This window comes from Homo sapiens, chromosome 2 (assembly GCF_000001405.40).
Source record: "Homo sapiens chromosome 2, GRCh38.p14 Primary Assembly".
Taxonomy (NCBI): Eukaryota; Metazoa; Chordata; class Mammalia; order Primates; family Hominidae; genus Homo; species Homo sapiens.
The window spans coordinates 195,957,089-195,977,732 of NC_000002.12; the positions used below are offsets into that span (position 1 = coordinate 195,957,089).

General features: G+C 37.5%; 1 protein-coding gene across 11 annotated transcripts in view; it reads right to left on the minus strand.

The window, feature by feature from the left end:
• The window catches only part of DNAH7 (dynein axonemal heavy chain 7), a 331,135-nt gene that overhangs the window by 219,386 nt on the left and 91,105 nt on the right, over positions 1-20,644 (minus strand). For all 11 annotated transcript variants that reach the window (XR_922968.4, XM_011511488.4, XM_017004504.3 and 8 more), the window contains 4 exons: positions 15,154-15,378; positions 12,860-13,006; positions 3,172-3,857; positions 173-359 (listed from right to left, as the gene is read on the minus strand). Coding sequence is in view for 10 of the 11 variants with exons in the window: in XM_011511488.4 (XP_011509790.1) it covers positions 173-359; positions 3,172-3,857; positions 12,860-13,006; positions 15,154-15,378 (1,245 nt within the window). In the remaining variant the exon portion in view is untranslated. The remainder of the gene's footprint in view (positions 1-172; positions 360-3,171; positions 3,858-12,859; positions 13,007-15,153; positions 15,379-20,644) is intronic.

Below are 20,644 nucleotides of genomic sequence, written 5' to 3' on the forward strand. Positions count from 1 at the left end.
TGCTTGCGACATTTTCTGCTCCTGGCATTCTAAAATAATAGCTGAAAAGACAATGTATGTATGAAACAGATAATGGCTTATTGGAAACAATAATGGCTTATATGGATTTCTGAAAACAAAAATCATGTCACTTCAACCAAATAATGACATTTTTGGAGATTTTTTCACCTACCTGCATGACACTTCTCATTATATCTCTCCATGTCTTATCCACAGCTGTAAATCGTCTGCCTTCCTCAGGCATTTGAGACATAATGTCTGGAGAGCTGAAAATGGGCTCCAGATACAGCCACGTGGCTTGGACTTTGAGCCATTCATCCAGAATCTCCTGAAGCAGTAGGAGCTTGCCCTCCCATTCTCTGAGGAGCAAAACACAGTGGCTCTTACTGACAGCAAACCAAGCAAATGTTTCAAATGACAAAATTCAAACCACAACTAGGTTGTCAATGTTGTATATAATGTTATACAATTGTTATACATTATATACAATCTTGTATATAATGTTATACAATTGTTATACATTATATACAATCTTGTATATAATGTTATACAATTGTTATACATTATATACAATCTTGTATATAATGTATATAATATTCCAATTTCCATTCATCTAGTTGCATTTAAAGATAAATCACTAGATTTGTTCTACAAAATATGTTTAAAGATAATAATATAACATTTATGCTTATAGAGATATACACGTTAAGATATACTTATCTACTATTGGGCTGGTTTCTGTATATGTCATAGCAATAAACCTTTCTGCTATCTAGTTCCATGGCTAGAGAGTACAAATTGAAAAATGAGATTTTGTTGACAGTAAAGGTATTCCCAATCAAGGGTACTCTGAGCTTCTGAGGAAAGATAGTTACATCCAATACTCTTTTCCTTTAATGTTCTTTTTCCCCCCTTAATTTGGGCTCATAAAGGCTTTATTTCTAGAATAAAGCCCTTATTTCTAAAATATAGTTGACCCTTCAACAACACAGGTTTCAACTGTGTAGGTCCACTTTTACACGGATTTTTTTCAATAAAGGTTACATGGACTTTGCCTGACTCTCCTGTCTCCCCTAACACCCTCTCCCCCTCTTCTGCTTCTGCCATCCCTGAGATAAGAAGACCAACCCCTCCTCTTCCTCCTCCTCCTCAGTATACTTGGCATGAAGATGACGAGGATGAAGATCTTCATGATGATCCACTGGCACTTAATGAATAGTAAATATATTTTTCTCATGATTTTCTTAATAACATTTTCTTTTCTCCAGCCTACTTTAAGAATATAGTATATAATACATGTAACATTCAAAGTATGTGTTATGTTATTTTTAAGGCTTCTGGTTAACAGTAGGCTATTTGTAGTTAAGGTTTTGAGGAGTCAAAAGTTATATGCAGGTTTTCAACTGTGTGGGGGGTCAGCGCCCCTAAAACCCCAAATTGTTCAAGGGTCAACTGTATTTCAATTTATAAGATGTAACTGGCATTTAAAGAAAAATGTACATACTCCAAAACAGTGTGGCACTCATGAGAAGGTGGAATATTTAAATTTACAATAGGTTATCAGTTTGTTTCTAAGTATAGAGAATATAGATAATGATTTAATTTCCTCAAGAATAAATATAATTACTCCATAAACTAATAATTTTACAAGTACATTTCTAAGGTCTCTATGTGTTTAGTCCATTATCATGTCAACCCTATGAGGTAAGGTCCATTGTAACATCTATTTATCAATGGAGAGACTAAGGCACATAGAGGCAAGTGCCAGGCTCAAGTTTAGCCAGATAATAAACAATAGAGCCAAGATTTGAACCCAGACAGTTGTAATTACTCTGCTATCAGAGATAACATAGTCATAAGGAAGAATGATTTATTAATAGCAACTTCGTTTGAATCCAGGAGGCGGAGGTTGCAGTGAGCTGAGATCGTGCCACTGCACTCCAGCCTGGGCAGCAGAGCAAGACTCCATCTCAAATTAATTAATTAATTAATTAATTTAATTAAATAGCAACAGAACTTAGATGTGGCATAGTCTTACGTATATTAACACATTACTCATCATTTAAGTGGTGCTCTGTGATTTTAGATCTTTAAAACAAAGAAATGTTAATGAGTTCACCAAGTAACCAGGCATTTTCAGATGTCTTTCTAAAATATTTTTCTTTCAATGCTTATCACTGAATTTGTTTAACCTCTTTGCACAAGAAGACCTGAATGCTTCTGCTTTCTTCTGTTGTTCTTCTTCCCTCTTTTTCTATCTAATTTTTGTGTGATTCAGAAAATTTCCAAGCAGCTAATGATATCACGCATAGTCCCTTAAAATGGAATCTAGATGTACCACTTTCAGAGTAGTTTAAAAATTCTTCTCTTAATGTGCATGCTGGAGCAAGCTGGCAGGAGGCAGAAGGACCAAACACAGAGAATGAGCCAAGACCAATCAGAACATGCCCAAGTGTACGATAACACCTAAGTCACCAGAGGCAGATACTACCAAGCTGTTAGCATTCCCTTGCCATGCAAATCCACTGAAGACAGTAGTCTGATTTTGATGGACTCTGTTTTTTTAAGGTAATATATAGCCTGCCTAATGTAAATTACAAAAACTGGAAACATTGACAGACAGCTAGGCTTACTTTAATTGGCTGTGTATGATACTTAAAACTCCCAACTAAAATTATAGTTTCATTCTTTTTCACTTACTTGCCATCCCGCATGCATATGAGTAGAAATTACAATAGATATTCAGCAATCTTCTATGACAAGCTAATGTATTTTTAAAACAAAATTATTATCTTCCGTTCACAGATACAAAATTATTTTTGAGAGTTAAAAAATAAGATCATATTGTAGGCAATAAAAACGAATATCTGGATGTTGATTGTCCACTGTCTTTGTTATGAATACAGAAGTTAACAAACCATTAAGATGATAGCAAAGGATGAGCAATCGTCCAATAGCAATGAAGCCATTGATTATAATATCTTTAAATATTTAAAGACCTTAAATATTTAGTATGAAATGCTAAGTATGAAATGCAAAATCAATTCTCAAAAGAAATAAAATATTAAGTATGAAATATTATGTGTGAAATAATTCTCAAAAGAACTTTACATTAAACACAAGTGATTTTGGTAACATAGCATAAACATTGCCATATAAATATCACTTTACCTCATTTGTTTTTCATAAGGCTTAATGAAAGGAGATCCTCGCATAGTTTGTGTTTTAATAATATGGTCATCCAACAACATCTGAATTTCATCAACTGATGCCAAAATAAATGTCCCAGTTTCTCTATAAGAATGGATGACAAATTCCACTGCATCCCACTCAGTAATCATCTTCTCCATCGCCTTTTCAAGAGAATATTCTTTGCTAGCTGCTTCACTAATACCTTCAAATCGGTCTATATATGGTTCCAGATTCATGTCTAAAAAAGAGGAGACTGTGGAGTCATCTGATGGCTGCAAAGGGTAACCAACAATGGCAGACATGGCCTCCCAGTGCCTGGGGCGCAAACCAGGATTACAGATCACTTGAATGAGAGGAATGTGCTGCTTGAAATCTTCCACCTTTGATCTTACTTTTTTTGTCATTGCCAATGCATATGGAGAATCATGAAAGGTTTTCTCCAGTTTATATAATCCTCTCCAGTAATTTCCAATATCTGCTTCTACTTGGTCTGGATTCACTTTATGATATGGCCCTTCTGTCCATGCTCTATAGTTGCTGCTAAATTCGACAGCAGTTTCATAAAGACGAAGATAAGGGTTCAAGCCATCTTGGATTTTTTTACGTTGAGGATATACAGATGGTAGCCAACCAAATGCTTCCTCTTCAGCATTAAACTGCTCAATCTGAAAGGATAAGTATTGAATATATTAGTTATTTTGAAAGTGAATGATACTGCAAATTAAGTTTTTTTAAATATCTATTTCAAATGTGAGCCAAAAAAACCTTACTAAGCCCTGAAGTTAAACTTCAATAATCTAGAAAAACAGAGCAGTAATCTCATTTTCCTATTTACTTCTTTTTTTAATTGACAAAAATGTACATATTTATGGTACATAACATGTTTTGAGAAAATGTATAATTATGGAATGGGTAAATAAAACTAATTAACATACATTACCTCACACACTGATTTTTTTGTAATAAGAACACTACACAACCTACTCTCTTAGCAATGTTCACGTATACAATACATTGCTATTAGCTGTAGTTACCAATTTGTACAATAGATACCTAAACGTATTCCTCCTAACTGAAATTTTTTATCCTTTGACCAACATCTTCCCCAATCCCCACTACCCACCAGCCCCACCCTTGTAGGCATCATTCTACTCTCTGCTTCTATGAATTTGATTTTTTATTAGATTCCACTATAACTGAGATCATGTGGTATTTGTCTTTCTGTGCCTGGAATATTTGACTTAACATAAGTCCTCCAGGTTTATCCATGTTGTCACAAATGACAGGATTTCCCATTTTTATTCCCCCTCTAAGGCTGAATAGCATTCCCCTATTTCTTTTTTATTACAGTTTTCAGAGAACAATGTCTGGTTACATTAGTTAAAATAGTTAATGCACATTTACATATATAAAGAAAGAGTTTTTGTCTGTCTAGACACATTGAGGACACAGCATCATTCTTTAGTTAACAAGAACTTAAATATTTTTTAATACACACAGCATTGTGTTAGGTACTGTGGAAAATAGAAAAAAAGTATTATATTGCAAAATACTAACTCCAAGGAGTTAGTAATCCAGCTCAGGAGAAAATATATACATAGGTGAAAATTTAACTAATTTTTCAATAATAATAATATAAAGCAATAGAAAAGACATCTCAGCGAAATAAATTTAAAATGAATAAAATATACTATAAAATGCTAACACCCAGAGTTGAGAGAGAGTGCTGAAATACTGCAGTCACAGATGCTTCTGTAAAGAAAATGAAACTCGAGTTCAGTCTTGAACACTTCCTCTTACTTTAGTTGTGAAATATGTGAGGATATGGACAGTTGAGAAGAGAACTGAAAAGTGTTCGTTAGCTAAATACATGGGTTACGAGGTTACTTAAAATTTCAGTGGCCTCAGTTTTTAAAAAAATATTTGTGGGTACACAGAAGTAGGTGTATATACTTATGGTGTACATGAGATACTTTGATAGCGGTATACAATGCCTATCATATGTTAAATGGGGTATCCATTCCCTCAAATATTTATCCTTCGTGTTATAAACAATCCAATTATACACTTTTGGTTGGTTGGTTGTTGTTGAGACAGTCTTGCTCTGTCACCCAGACTGGAATGCAGTGGCAAGATCTCGGCTCACGCAGCCTCGACTTCCTGGGCTCAAATGATCCTCCCACTTTAGCCTCCCAAGTAGCTGGGACTACAGGCACATGCCACCATGCCTGGCTAATTTTTGTAATTTTAGTGGAGATAGGGTTTCACCATGTTGCTCAGGCTGGTCTCAAATTCCTTGGCTCAAGTGATCTGCCTGCCTTGGCCTCCCAAAGTGCTGGGATTAGAGGTGTGAGCCACTGTGCCTGGCCCTGTTTTAGGTTATTTTTAAATGTGCAATTAAATTATTGTTGACAAATACTAGACCTTATTTATTCTTACTATTTTTTGTACCCACTCAACGTTCCTACTTATCCCCTACTCCATCACTACCCTTCCCAGCTTTTGGTAACCATTCTTCTACTCTGTATCTCCATGAGTTCAATTGTTTTACTTTTTAGCTCACACAAGTTAAGTGGGAACATGCAAAGTTTGTCTTTCTGTGCCTGGCTTATTCATTTAATATAATGACTTCCAGTTCCATCAGTGTTGTTGCAAATGACAGAATCGTCTTGTTTGTTATGGCTGAATAGTACACCATCGTATACAGATACCACATTTTCTTTATCTATTCATCTCTTGCTGGACACTTAGGCTTCCAAATCTTGGCTATTGTGAACAGTTCTGCAACAATCATGGGAATGCAGATATCTCTTTGATATCTTGACTTCCTTTCTTTCGGGTATATACCAGCAGCGGGACTGCTGGATGATATGGTAGCTCTAGTTTTAGTTTTTTAAGGAAGCTGCAAACTGTTCTCCATAGTAGTTGTACTAACTTACCTTCCAATCAACAGTGTAAGAAAGTTTCCTTTTCTCTACATCTTTGACAGCAGTTATTGACTGTTTTTTGAATAAAAGCCATTTTAACTGAAGTGACATGGTATCTCATTGTAGTTTTGATTTGCATGTCTCTGATAATCAATGATGTTGAACACCTTTCCAAATGTCTATTTGCCATTTGTATGTCTTCTTTTGTGACATGTCTCTTCACATCTTTTGCCCATTTTAAATTCAGGTTATTAGAGATTTTCCAACAGAGTTGTATGATCTCCTTATGTATTCCAGTTATTAATCCCTCATCAGATGGGTAGTTCGCAAATATTTTCTCCCATGCTCTGGGTTGTCTCTTCATGTTGTTTATTGTTTCCTTTGTTGTGCAGAAGTTTTTAACTGGATGTGATCCCATTTGTCCACTTTTGCTTTGTTTGCCTGTGCTTGTGGGGTATTACTCAAGAAATTTTTGCCCAGTCCAAATTCCTGGAGAGTTTCTCCAATGTTTCTTGTAGTAGTTTCATAGTTTGAGGTCTTAGATTTAAGTCTTTAATCCATTTTGATTTGATTTTTTATATGGTGAGAGATAGGGGTCTAGCTTCATTCTTCTGTATATGAATATCCAGTTTTCCCAGTACTATTTGTTGAAGAGATTGTCTTTTTCCCAAAGTATGTCCTTGGCACTTTTCTCTAAAATGAATTTACTGTAGATTTATGAATTTGTTTCTGGGCTCTCCATTCTGTTCCATTGGTCTATGCGTCTGTTTTTCTGCCAGTACCATGCTGCTTTGGTTACTAAAGCTCTGAATCCTAATTTGAAACTAGGTAATGTGATTCCACCAGTTTTGTTCTTTTTGTTCAAGATAGCTTTGGCTATTCTAAGGTTTTTGTAGTTCCATAAAAATTGTAGAACTGTGGGGATGGGCAGGAGACAAAAAAAATTTAGGAGTGTTTTTTCTATTTCTGTGAGGAATCTCATTGGCATTTTGATAGGGATTACACTGAATATGAAGATTGCTTTGGGTAGTATGAACATTTTAACAATATTGATTCTTCAAATCCATGAACATGGAATATACCTTTTTATGTGTCACCTTCAATTTCTTTCATCAATATTTTATACTTTTCATTGTAGAGATCTGTGGCTTCTTTGGCTAAATTAATTCTTAGGTATTTAATTTTATTTGAGACTATTGTAAATGGGATTACTTTTATTTCTTTTTCAGATTGTCCACCTTTGGTATATATAAATGCCACTGATTTTTGTATGTCAATTTTGTATCCTGTAACTTTACTGAATTTATCAGTTCTAATAGTTTTTTTTTTTTTTTTTTTGGAGGAGTCTTTACATTTTTCCAACTACAAGATCATATTGGCCGGGCACGGTGGCTCACGCCTGTAATCCCAGCACTTTGGGAGGCCGAGGCAGGCGGATCACGAGGTCAGGAGTTCGAGACCAGCCTGGCCAACATGGTAACACCCCATCTCTACTAAAAATACAAAAAAAAAAAAAAAATTAGCCAGGCATGGTGGCACGCGCTTGTAGTCCTAGCTACTAGAGAGACTGAGGCAGAAGAATCGCTTGAACCCAGGAGGCAGAGGTTGCAGTGAGCCGAGGTCACGCCACTTGCACTCCAGCCTGGGTGACAGAGTGAGACTCCGTCTCAAAAAAAAAAAAAAAGTTCATATCATCTACAAACAAGGAAAATATGACTTCTTCCTTTCCAGTTTGGATGCCCTTTATTTCCTTCTCTCATTGGACTGCTGTAGCTAGTACTTCCAGCACTATGTTGACTCACAGTGGTGAAAGTGGGCATCCTTGATGTGTTCCAGATTTTAGATAAAAGGCTTTCTTTCAGTTTTTCCCCATTCAGTATGATACTACCTGTGGGTCTGTCTTTTATGGCTTTTATTATGTTGAGGTATGTTCCTTCAATAGCCAGTTTTATGAGGGTTTTCATCATGAAGTGATGTTGAATTTTGTTATATGCTTTTTCAGCACCAATTGAAATGATCATATTATTTTTGTCGTTCATTCTCTTTATATGATGCATCAAATTGATTGATATGTTTATGTAGAACCATCCTTACATCCCAGGATAAATTACACTTGATCATGATGAATGATGTTTTTAATGCATTGTTGAATTCAGTTTGCCAGTATTTTGTTGAGGATTTTTGCCTCAATGTTCATTAGGGATATTGGCCTAAAGTTTTCTTTTTTTGATGTGTCTTTGTCTAGTTTTGGTATCAAGGTAATACTAACCTCCTAGAATAAATCTGGAAGTATTCTCTCCTATATTTTTCAGAATAGTTTGAGTAGGATTGACATTAGTTCTTTTGTAAATGTTGGCTAGAATTTAGCAGTGAAGCCATTGGGTCCTGGGTTTTTCTTTACTGGGAGATTTTTTTATTATGCATTCAATCTTCTTACTTGTTGTTGGTCTGTTCAGGTTTTGGATTGCTGCATGGTTCAATCTTGGTACTTTGTGTGTATCTAGGAATTTAAGCATTTCCTCGAGATTTTCCTATTTATTGGCATACAGTTGCTCACAGTAGCCACTATTGAGCCTTAGAGTTTCTACAGAATTAGTTGTAATGTCTCCTTTTTCATTTCGATTTTACTCATTTGGGTCTTCTCTCTTTTTTTCTTGGGTAGTCTAGTTAAAGGTTTATCAATTTTATTTTTTCAAAAACTTTTCATATCATTAATTTTTATTGTTTTCTTCATTGCAATTTTTAAATTTCTGCTCTGGTGTTTATTATTTCTTTTCTCTACTGATTTTGGGTTTGGTTTACTCTTGCTTTTCTAGTTCCTTAAGGTGCATAATTAGATTTTTTTGTTTGTTTGTGTGTTTGTTTTGGTGTAGGTACCTATAGCTATAAATTTCCCCCTTAGCACTGCTTTCACTAGATACCATATGTTTTGTTATGTTGTGTTTCCATTATCATTTGTTTCAAGAAATTTTTCCATTTCCTCTTAATTTTTTCATTGACCCCACCGCTCATTCAGGAGCACATTGCTTAATTCCTATGTGTTTGTATAGTTTCCAAAATTCTTGTTATTAATTTCTAGTTTTATTCCACCGTGGTCAGAGAAGATGCTTGATATCATTTCCTTTTTTAAAATGTTTTAAACCATGTTTTGTGACCTAACATATGGTCTATCCTTGAGGATTACCCATATGCTGAGGAGAAGAATTCGCGTTCTGCAGCTGTTGGATGAAATGTTCTGTAAATATTTATTATGTTCATTTGGTCTACAGCATAGATTAAATCTGATGTTTCTTTGTTGGTTTTCTGTCAGGGACATCTGTCCAGTGCCAAAAGTGAGGTGTTTAACTCTCCAGCTATTATTGTATTGAGGTCTATTTCTCTCTTTAGCTCTAATATTATTTGCTCTATATATCTGGGCACTCCAGTGTTTGTTGCATATAAATTATAATTGTCATACCCTCTTGCTGAATTGATCCTTGTATCGTTATATAATACTTTGTGTCTTCTCACAGTTTTTGTCTTGAAGTCTATTTTGCCTGATACAAGCATTGTTACTCCTGGTAATTTTTTGTTCCCATTGGCATGGAATATATTTTTTCAACCTTTTATTTTCAGTCTATGTGTGACTTTATAGGTAAAGTGTGTTTCTTGAAGGCAACAGACCACTGGGTCTTGCTGTTTTTTTTAAAAAAACCATTTATCCATGCTATATCTTTTGATTAGAGAAGTTAGTCCATTTACATTCAATATTATTATTGATAAGTAAGGAGTTACTTCTGCCATTTTGTTTTATGTTTTCTGGTTGTTTTGTGGGCTTCTCTTGCTTTCCTTCCTTCCTATCTTCCTTTTAGTGAAGGTGATTTTCTCTGGTAGTATGTTTTAATTTCTTACTTTTCATTTTTTGTTTATCTGTTGTATATAGTTTTTTATGTTAGATTACCATGAAGCTTGAAAATAATATCTTATAACCCATGATTTTAAACTGAAGACAATACTGATTGCATAAATAAGCAAAAAGGAGACTAATTTAAAAATCTACACTTTGACTTCATCCTCCTGCTTTTTAACTTTTTTTGTTTCTCTTTATATCTTTTTGTACTGTTTATATCTTGAAAAGTAGTTGCATTTATTATTTTTGATGGGCTCATCGTTTAGTCTTTCTACTTAAGACATGAGTAGTTTACATACCACAATTAAACAGTATTATAATAGTCTATTTTTATGTGTGCTTATTATTACCAGTGAGTTTTGTGCCTTCAGATGATTTATTATTGCTCATCCTGTTCTTTCAGATTCGCAAACTATGGCATTTCCTGTAAGATAGGTCTGGTGTTGATGAAATCTCTCAGCTTTTGTTTGTCTGGGAAAGTCTGTCTTGCTATTTCATGTTTGAAGGGTATTTTCATGATATACTATTCTAGGGTACAAGTTTTTTCTTTCAGCACTTTAAATATGTCATGCCATTGTCCTGGCCTGTAAGGTTCCCACTGAAAAGCCTGCAGTCAGATGTGTTGGAGCTCCATTGTGTGCTATTTGTTTCTTTTCTCTTGCTGCTTTTAGGTTCCTTTATTTTTGACCTTTGGAAGTTTGATTATTAAATGCCTTGAGGTAGTCTTCTTTGGGTTAAATTTGCTTGGTGTTCTATAACCTTGTACTTGAATATTGGCATCTTTCTCCAGGTTTGGTGTTCTATTCTACTAAGCTTGAACCCAAACCACAAGACAAAATCCTTCCCACCCTTCCCTCCTCTTTCCACAAGTGGAAGAGCCTCTCCTGCTGCTGCCACCACTGGCCCATGGGCAGTTCTGCCAGGCCACTGCCAATGTTCATTTAAGGCCCAAGCACTCTTCAGTCAGCTTGTGGTGAATACTGTCAGGCCTGGGACTCAGCCTTCAGGGCAGTGGGCTCCCCTCTGGCCCATGGCAGGTCCAGAAATACTGTCTAAGAGCCTAGGCCTGGACTTGGGGGCCCCAAGGTCCCACCTGGTTCTCTATCCCAGTGTGGCTGAGTTGGTACCCAAAGCCAGCATGTATCAGAGTCTCACCTAAGGCCCATAGCATACCACCTGGATATCACTATTGGTTATTCAGGGCCTAAGGGCTCTTTAGTCAGCAGGTGATGAATCCTGCCAGGATTGTGTCCTTCCCTTCAAGGCCTTCAAGGCAGTGGGTTCTCTTCCAGCCCAGGGTATGTCTACATATGTCATCTGGGAGATAAGGCCCGAAATGGGGGCCTCACAACCCTGCACGTTGCCCTGCCCTACTGTGGCTGAGCTAGTATCCAAGATGCAAGACAAAGCCGTCTTTTCTCTCCTCCCTACTCTCCTCAAGCAGAAGGAAGGAGTCACCTTCATGGGTGTGAGCTACACTGCTTAGGGTTGGGAGAAGCATGGCATAAGCACTTCCTCAGCCACCCTGCATGGTGTCTCCTTAGGTCACATGTTAACCCAGTTCACCAGCTCTAAGCCCAGGACAGCATCAGGGCTTGCCTAAGAATTCCAGTCCTTGTAACCTAGACTGTCTTTTAAATTCACTTAGGACTCCAGAGCACTTTAGCCCACAGTGGCACGGCCTGCTGAGAAATTCAAGTTCTGACCACTGGGATGGGTGCTTCCCTGCTGGCTATGTCTGGTCCAAATGCTCTCTGTGTGGGTAGGTGCCAGCTGAGGTCAGAACAGTTTTGCTTTCTGCTGCAACAGGGCAGCACTGAGTTCAATGCAAAGTCCCCCAGTCACTACGCTGTCCCTCCCCGACGTGTACAGATTCTCTCTCTGCACCACATGGGTGTTATTGGGGAATGCGGAGGGGCAGCATCAGCGTTTCAAGACTGTTTTTCCTGTTTTCAATGCTTCTTTCAGTGATATGAAGTTAAAACCAGGTAACGTGATTGCTCACCTGATTTTTGGTTCTTATGAAGGTGATTTTCTGTGTGCAGATAATTGTTAAAACTTGGTTTCCTGTGGGTGGTGGGGGGAGCAATCAGTGGAGGCTTCTATTCAGCCATTTTGTTCCACCTCAGTGGCCTTGGTTTAAAATAACTACAGAGTTTTTATTTTCTCCACGTATGTTGACATATTTGTGATTATTATAAAACAATTACCTGAACTAATAAGATATTAAGATCTTTCAATGTAAGAAAAATGATAGAGCATCATAGTTAATCATATGTTTTCATTCTCCTTTTCATATAAAATACAATTAAACTCTGTAAATATCTTATATGGCAAAGGGTATGGCTCTTTTTCCTCCAGCTTCCTCTAATGAAAAAGCTGATTTCTGAAACGGTAGTATTGGGAACAAAATTGCTTGGTGAGAGAAAATAATGGACCTTATTTTAAAACAAGACCACTAAATCTAAGCTGTCCTCTATGAAGATGGAAGAACTAAACCGTAACCAGGTACTATCATTTGCCTGCTTCTGCTCAAAACTATGGACTCCCAACTATCATAGTAGAACTATGATGCAAATAATTAAATGATGCAAAGCAAAGTTTAAAAAGAAGACTGAGATATAACTCTATCTTTAACATAGGAAAAAAATGTATCACTACCAATAGAAAACAGCAATACTGCTATTCCTTGAAGCATGTCTATAAAATCTATTTGTGTCATTCTATTATCCTCTAATTAAATGTGGTTACTGTTTTATTTGAATCTACTTCTTAAAGGTGAATAACTAAAACGAATTCAATGCTTTTTCAATTGAACTAATTCATCTTTTTAAGAATTTTTGAATTATACCTTATCTGCAGCTAAATCCAACTTTCCATTCAGTATTTGAGCCTTTTTTAGGTACCGCTGAACATCCTGAAGATCTCCAAATGAATAAAATTCTTCTGATTGCTTAGCATAACTCTCCAATTCCTCCACAAACCGTTCACACCGTAACTAATAAAAACAATTTGTTGTTAATATTCTTAAAAGTTAAAACCCCTTGCTGTCAAAAAATTTTAACATTGTAGGAGTTATCAGAATTATTATTATATTTTGTCACTGGTAAAACATAAAAGGATGATCTGGAAAATGAACGAGATCTAAAATATGCAGAATTGTAAAACTTTAAATTAATGGATTTAGATTCCTCTAACTCACAGATTAGAAAAAGTCAACTCTGTATTATCTATGTAAGAAGTTCTAGCTAATAAAATTAATAAAAATGTTAGACAATGGTGATCTTTAATATGCTGAAGAATTTATGCAAACAAATAATTTATCAGCATTTGAAAAATCTCTTAATAATCAAGAATGGGACTAAAAGAAAATTTCAATTTTTACCTATGCTATTTTTATAAACTGAAAAAAACGGAATTTCTTTAATTGTACTCTGATATCATTTCAATCAGCAATACTAAAGCAAGATATTCCAAGGTTATTTTTCTTGTCCAATGGGCTCTCTTCACAAGAAACACGTAAGGTAAATAAATCCAGATTTAAACACTTAAAAACTATAGTGTTCTAATATAAGATAGGTATGTATGTTTTAAGTAAAAAAGCCTTATTACATAATTGGTATTGGTAAGGCATTCCAAATTAAATGGCTCTAAAAAATAGCTCAATAAAATATTCAAAAAATTTAGGTTATTCAAAAATAGATTTTCTATTTTATAGATTATCTAGGCTGATTTATGTCCTCTTTTCTCTAGTTTCCTGGCAAACTTATTGCTCTAGCCCAGTCGGGGAGGGAAAATGAGAGGAAAAGTTCATCAACAGTGTGTGTAGTTTGTGGAATAGTATACTTTAAAACATAGCATAAATAATTCTGGGCCACTTAGCAATTTTCCAAGAGCCTATTTTACTGAAACTTAAACATCTAATATTTACTACTCATGATGTTTTCTGCAGTTTTTAAAAAAATCTGATATACCCTTAATGTAAAACAAAAATACAAACTACAGTTTAAAATGAAGAGTTTTTTAAGCCTATGAATTATTCTCCAAACAACATATTTTGCCAATTATATTTGCTATAATGTAATAGAAAGAAAGCATGGCTTGCTATTAAAGGACATCTGTACTGGCTGACCTAGAACAAGTCTCTTAATCTTTGGGAAACTTACTCTTCCACCTGTAAAATGAGACTGTAAATATTAAGTCATTTACTAATACAGTAGCTATGGAATGCTCACAGCATTTCTGTGTGTCAGTCACTGTGCTGGGAAGTGGATATAAATGGAGAAATGTAATAATGAAACAGCCCTGCTCTCAAGGAGCTGATGATCCCATCAGGAGGCAGACTTACAAACACTAACATAATGATCAGATAATTGTCCGATAGAGATGTGGTCAAAGTGAGAGCACAGGAGAGAACAAGTAGCACTGAGGTCTGCTGAGAGGGCTTCTCAGAAAAATGAATAGAGTGTGCTAGATGAACAAGCACATGTGGGGCGGGGGTGTGCTCAGAGTGATGGGGAGAATGTGCAGGAGACAAGAAGCATAGGAGAGCAGACATCTAGAAGTTGACAGGGTTACTGAAAAGTCATGAGTGAGGAGTGGGGAGAAGTAGGCAATGAGGCTGGACAGTGAAATGGGCAAATCATAAATCATCTTATATGGAAGACTGCCCCCTCCCCCCCAAGAAAAAAGCTGGAGTTACTGAATGTTAGAGTGACGATTCTGGGCACAATGCTCATGAGAGTGAGCAATTATGAGGTATGAAAGCACATTTCATCAAGGGAGCTTTGATATTCAAACAAGTTTTAAAAACCGAAAATAGTACTATAAATTATGTAAGATAAATACTATTTTTATTAACTATCACCTATGCATGATATATTCCATTTTTTTCACATTATCTTGAAAAATCAAGAAATGACTGCATATTGATCAATATACTACTGACTCCTTAATCATCCAATAAGCATTATAAAAGATCCAATATATTACTGTCTCCCACTAATATTTATAGTGAGATTATAGCATTATAGTATGAGAAAGCTAAAAAAGTATGCACTCAAATAAAATAATTGACAATGCTACATAAAAAGATAAAAACAAAACATTTCCAGAAAATGAAAATAAAATATCTAAGATGCCAACCTTCAGACCTTCTTGATATTGTTCTATTTTCTCTTTAATGATTTTCCTGTGTTCTTCAAAAATTTCTCCCATCCTTCCATACCACTGGAAAACACTATTATTTAGCCTCATGTCTGCTGGAGAAAAGTTGACATACTCGATGAGGAAGGCGAGGCAGTTTTTGGAATCCACTAATCTCTGTTCTAGTTCAATCATATCAGTTACCTCCACTTTCTGAATGTAAGCCTGAGGGAAAACAAAAATTACAGGTGACATTTTAACGAACAGCTCATGTCACGAAACAGCCTGCGGAAATACACTGTATAACTATGCACAGACTTATTAGAAGTCAACACTTTTGGTTCAAAATCAGGGACTACAGCATAGTTTCCTTCTCATCCCTCCCAAACATCTCACTAAAATGACAACAACAAAAAAAAAGAAAAAGAAAGAAAATGCTCAACAACACATGGAAAACCAGGGAGGAGTGCTGTGGGTTCACAGAAGATAGATATGAAGCAGATACTATCTGAGTGAAGAGTTACTCTTTCAGAGTAACATTTTATGGGCACCTGCTATGGGCCTGACACTGTGCCAGGTGCTGGCAATACACTGTGATGAAAGACAGACATGGGCTCTGCCCTCCCTGAGTTTGCAGTCCAGTTGGGGAGTCTCTTTTACCCAAATAACCACCAGAACAAATGTAAAACTTCGAGCTTGCAACAGAGACAACTGCTACACAGGCACACTGCTCGGAGCATATCATAAGGATGTGAAGTAGTGAGAGGTGGAGGGTAGTTCCCGTATCTTGGAGAAGCACAAATAGAAGGAAACGAGGGAATGAAACAAGTGGAGAGGGCTGCATGTGGAGAGAACATGGGCCCAGTGGCAAGAAGGAGCAAGGGTAAGGGGCTGAGGGGCCAGCAGCACTGCAGCAGAGTGGTAGGGCAGCAGACCAGAGTGGTAGGGCAGCAGATGGCTTTGTTTCATTTATCCCAGTACTGAATACTCAAGGACAACCAACATTTCTTCGTTAGTTCCAGTCCCCCTGGTACCAATACTTCTGGACTACCATTCAAGGTAATAGGAGCTCCTTTGTGTCATGGAATGAAATTCTTGTTTTATGGGTGGGTATTGGGCGCGTGGGAATGTGATAACCTAAACATGGATGCACTTTACTGTAAATTCCACTTTTTCCTCTTTCCCTGAACTGTTTGGACCTATACAGTTTTTTTTGTTTGTTGTTTTGTTTTTGTTTTTGTTTTTTTTGAGATGGAGTCTCACTCTGTCACCCAGACTGGAGTACAGTGGCACAATCTCGGCTGACTGCAACCTCAGCCTCCCATGTTCAAGCGATTCTCCTGCCTCAGCCTCCCAGGTAGCTGGGATTCAGGCATGTGCTAGGTTGTTTTTTGTTTGTTTTGTAATTTGAGTAGAGATGGGGTTTCACCACGTTGGACAGGCTGATCTCGAACTCCTAATCTCAGGTGATCCGCCCACCTCAGCCTCCCCAAATGCTGGAATTACAGGCGTCAGCCACCGCGGCTGACCCTTCCTTTGTATTTTTAAGAAAATATTAAAAATCGGCCGGGTGTGGTGGCTCATGCCTGTAACCCTAGGCTTTTGTGAGGTCTAGGCAGGCGGATCACCTGAGGTCAAGAGTTCAAAACATGGTGAAACCCCGTCTCTACTAAAAATATATAAATAATTGGACGGGTGTGGTGGCAGGCGCCAGTAATCCAGCTACTTAGGAGGCTGAGGCAGGCGAATTGCTTGAACCCAGGAGGCAGTGGTTGCACTGAGCTGAGATCACATCACTGCACTCCAGCCTGGGTGACAGAATGAGACTCCATTTCAAGAAAGAAGGGGAAGGGGAAGGGAAGAAAGAAAGGGAGAAGGAAGGAAATAATGAAGACCTAACAATGTTTTTGAAGGAGAAAGTTGCTTAGAAATTGTTCATTGATATATTATTCTAATTAGACTAAATGCTTTTATGTTGTAAATCCAAACCAACAGGATACAAACCATGGTGGTTTCCACAAGTAACAAAATGTCTAACTGAAAATATATTTTTGATAATTTAGTTAATCAGCTATCTATGTAGTCAAATGACTGGGATTTTTATTTCCCCTTACTGATAATAAAGGACTGATTTCTATACTGAATAAATTCACCAACTGTTTTGCCCTTGTGGTAATAATCTTTTTTAAAATATAGAAATATTTGAAATATCAGGCAATGAATCCTATTTGCTAATTCTGTCAAAGGCTATTATGTACAGTAGAAATTCACAATAAATAATCCCCAAATTCCTAAATATTTCCAGTAATAGCTAGGAGGATAAATAAATGATGATACTCTCCATATTCAATATTCATTTTCCCAAAGGAATTTTCCTTTAATGAACAGGAATTTACAGTTTAACTCTCCAACTACATTTATAATCATTCATAACCAAAGAATCACTTGATGTCCAACAATAATATAAAATATAAAAATATTCTAAAAATATATATAGGCATGTATGTATATTTTACACACACACACACACACACACACACACACACACACACACAGTCACATATGAAGGACCTCAATCCAAGTACAAATACTTTCCAAAGGACAGAACTCTCCTTAAAGACTGATACGTAAAAATTGGTTCTAATGATTTTAACAAATTTTCATTTAAGTGAATGATTTTTAAAAATACATATGTAATCACTTTAACTCTTTTTTATAATTTCCTGTGTATAGAAAGTTTTGAATGATTTTTATGATTTGCTGGGCGCACTTAAATACTTTAAAATCAGGATCGAGGCAGAGAAAGATGGCTGAATCGAAGCCTCCACTGATCATTCTCCCCATAGAAATACCAACTTTAACAACCATCTAAACCCAAAAGCACCTTCATGAAAACCAAACATCAAGTGAATGATCACAGTACCTGGTATTAACTTCATATTACTGAAAGAGACACCGAAGAGGGTAGGAAAGATAGTCTTGAATTGTGGATGCCATCCCTCCCCTGGCCCCCCGCATCAGCTGCTAGGCACTGAGAATCTCTGTTCTCAGGGAGGGAGAGTGGGACTTTGTGTTGGAACTCGGTGCTGCCAACATGCACAGACCTCAGCAAATGCCCATGGAGGGACCACTTAGAGCAGCCCTAGCCAGAGGGAAATCACCCATTCCAGATGTTACAACCTGAGTTTTGGCAAACCTTGCCACCATGGGCTAAAGTGTTCTGAGGCTCTAAACAACTTGAAAGGCAGTCTAGGCCACAAGAACTGCAACTCCTAGGCAAGTTTTAGTGCCGTGTGGGGTCAGAGCCAGTGGGCTTGAGGTGCACATGACCTAGTGATATACCTAGCTAAAGAAGTGGTTGTGCCATCCCTCCCCCAACCCCAGGCAGCACAGCTCACTGCTCCAAAGAAGACCCCTTCATTCCACTTGAGGAGAGGAAGAGAAAAGAGTAAAGAGGACTTTGCAACTTGGATACCAGCTCAGCCACAGCAGGATAGGGCAATGGGTAGAGTAGTGAGGCCCCCATCTTAGGCCCTAGCTCCTGGAAGACATTTCTAGACACACATGGGCCAGAAGAAAACCCACTGGCTTGAAGGGAGGGATGCAGTCCTGGCACAATTCATCACCTGCTGACTAAAGAGCCCTTGGGCACTGAATAATCAGGAGCAGTAGCCAGTTAGGAAACACCCTGGGCCTTGGATGAGACTCTGAGATGTCCTGGCTTCAGGTGTGATCTGGCACATTCACAACTGTAGTGGCTACCAAGAGAGACTCCTTCTGCTTAAGAAAAGCAGAGGGAAGAGTAAAGAGGACTCTGTCTTGCAGTTTAGATACCTCAGCCTTGCAGCTCGGCCACAGTGTGGCAGAGTATGAAGTGGGATCTCGGGATCCCCAATTCCAGGCCTTGGCTGTTAGGAGGAATTTCTGGACCTATCTTGGGCCAGAGGGGAGCCCACTTTTGTGAAAGTGGGTCCTAGGTTTAGCAACATGCACCACAACCTGACTGAAGAGCCCTTGGGCCTTAAGTGAACATTGGCTGTGGCCTGGCAATACTCCCCAAGGACCTGTGGTGGTGGTGGACATAAGAGTCTCCTCTGCTTATCAAAAGGGGAGGGAAGAGTGGGAAGGACTTTGTCTTGTGGTCTGATGCCAGTTCAGCTGCAATAGAGTAGAGTACCACATAGATTCCTAAGGTTTCCTACTCCAGGCCCTGGCTCCCAGGCAGCATCTCAGGGACACTCGGAGCTGGGGGAACTCACTGACCTGAAGGGAGGAACACATGCCTGGATGGCTTCACCATCTGCCAATTGTAGAGCCCTAGGGCCTTGAATAAACACAGGCAGTAGCAAGTAAGAGGTTACCATGGGCCTTAAATGAGAACCAGTGTTGCACTGGCTTCAGTTCTGACCAAGCACAGTCCCAGTGGTGATGGTCACAAGGGTGTTTGTGTCACCCCTCCCCCAGTTCCAGGCAGCTTAGCAGACAGAGAGAGACAGAGAGGCAGACAGAGAGAGAGAGAGAGAGAGAGAGAGAGAGAGAGAGAGAGACTCTCTAATTATTTGGGAGAAATTAAGGGAAGAGAATAAGAGTCTCTGCCTGGTAATCAAGACAAGTCTTCCAGATTATATCCAAGACCACCAAGGCAGTACCTCTACAAGGCTATGAGATCCACAGTGTTACTGGGCTTGGGGTATCCCTTAATGCAGACACAGAAGAAGTGACCAAAAACTTAGATCACAACATTTAAGTCCCTTCAAATACCTGGAAAGTCTTCTCAAGAAGGAAGGGTACAAACAAGCCCAGAATGCTAAAGGTATAATACCTAACTCTTCAAGGCCCAGATACCAATGAACATCCACAAGCATCAAGACTGTCCAAGAAAACATAACCTCATCAAACAACCTAAATAAGGCACCAAAGAGATAAACCCAAAGAGATAGAGATATGTGAGATTTCAGACAGACAATTCAAAATAGCTGTTTTCAGGAAACTCTTTGAAATTCAAGATAACACCATGAAGGAATTCAGAATCTCATCATATAAATTTAACAAAGAATTTGAAATAATGAAAAAAGAATCAAGAAGAAATTCTGGGGTTGAAAATGTAATTGACATACTGAAGAATGCATCAGACTCTTAATAGCAGAGTTTATCAAAAAGAAGAAAGAATTAGTGAGCTTGAAGATAGGCTACCTAAAAATACACAGAGGAGACAAAAGAAAAAGGGATAAAAAAGAATGAAGTACACCTATAGGATCTGGAAAATAGCCTCAAAAGGGCAAATCTAAGAGTTATTGGCCTTAAAGAAGAGGTAGAGAGAGATAGGTAGAACCTTATTCAAAAGGATAATAACAGAAAATTTTCCAAACCTAGAGAAAAATATCAATATTTCGGTACAAGAAGGTTTTAGAACACCAAGCAGATTTAACCCAACAAAGACTACCTCAACATATTTAATAATCAAACTCCCAAAGGTCAAAAATAAAGAAAG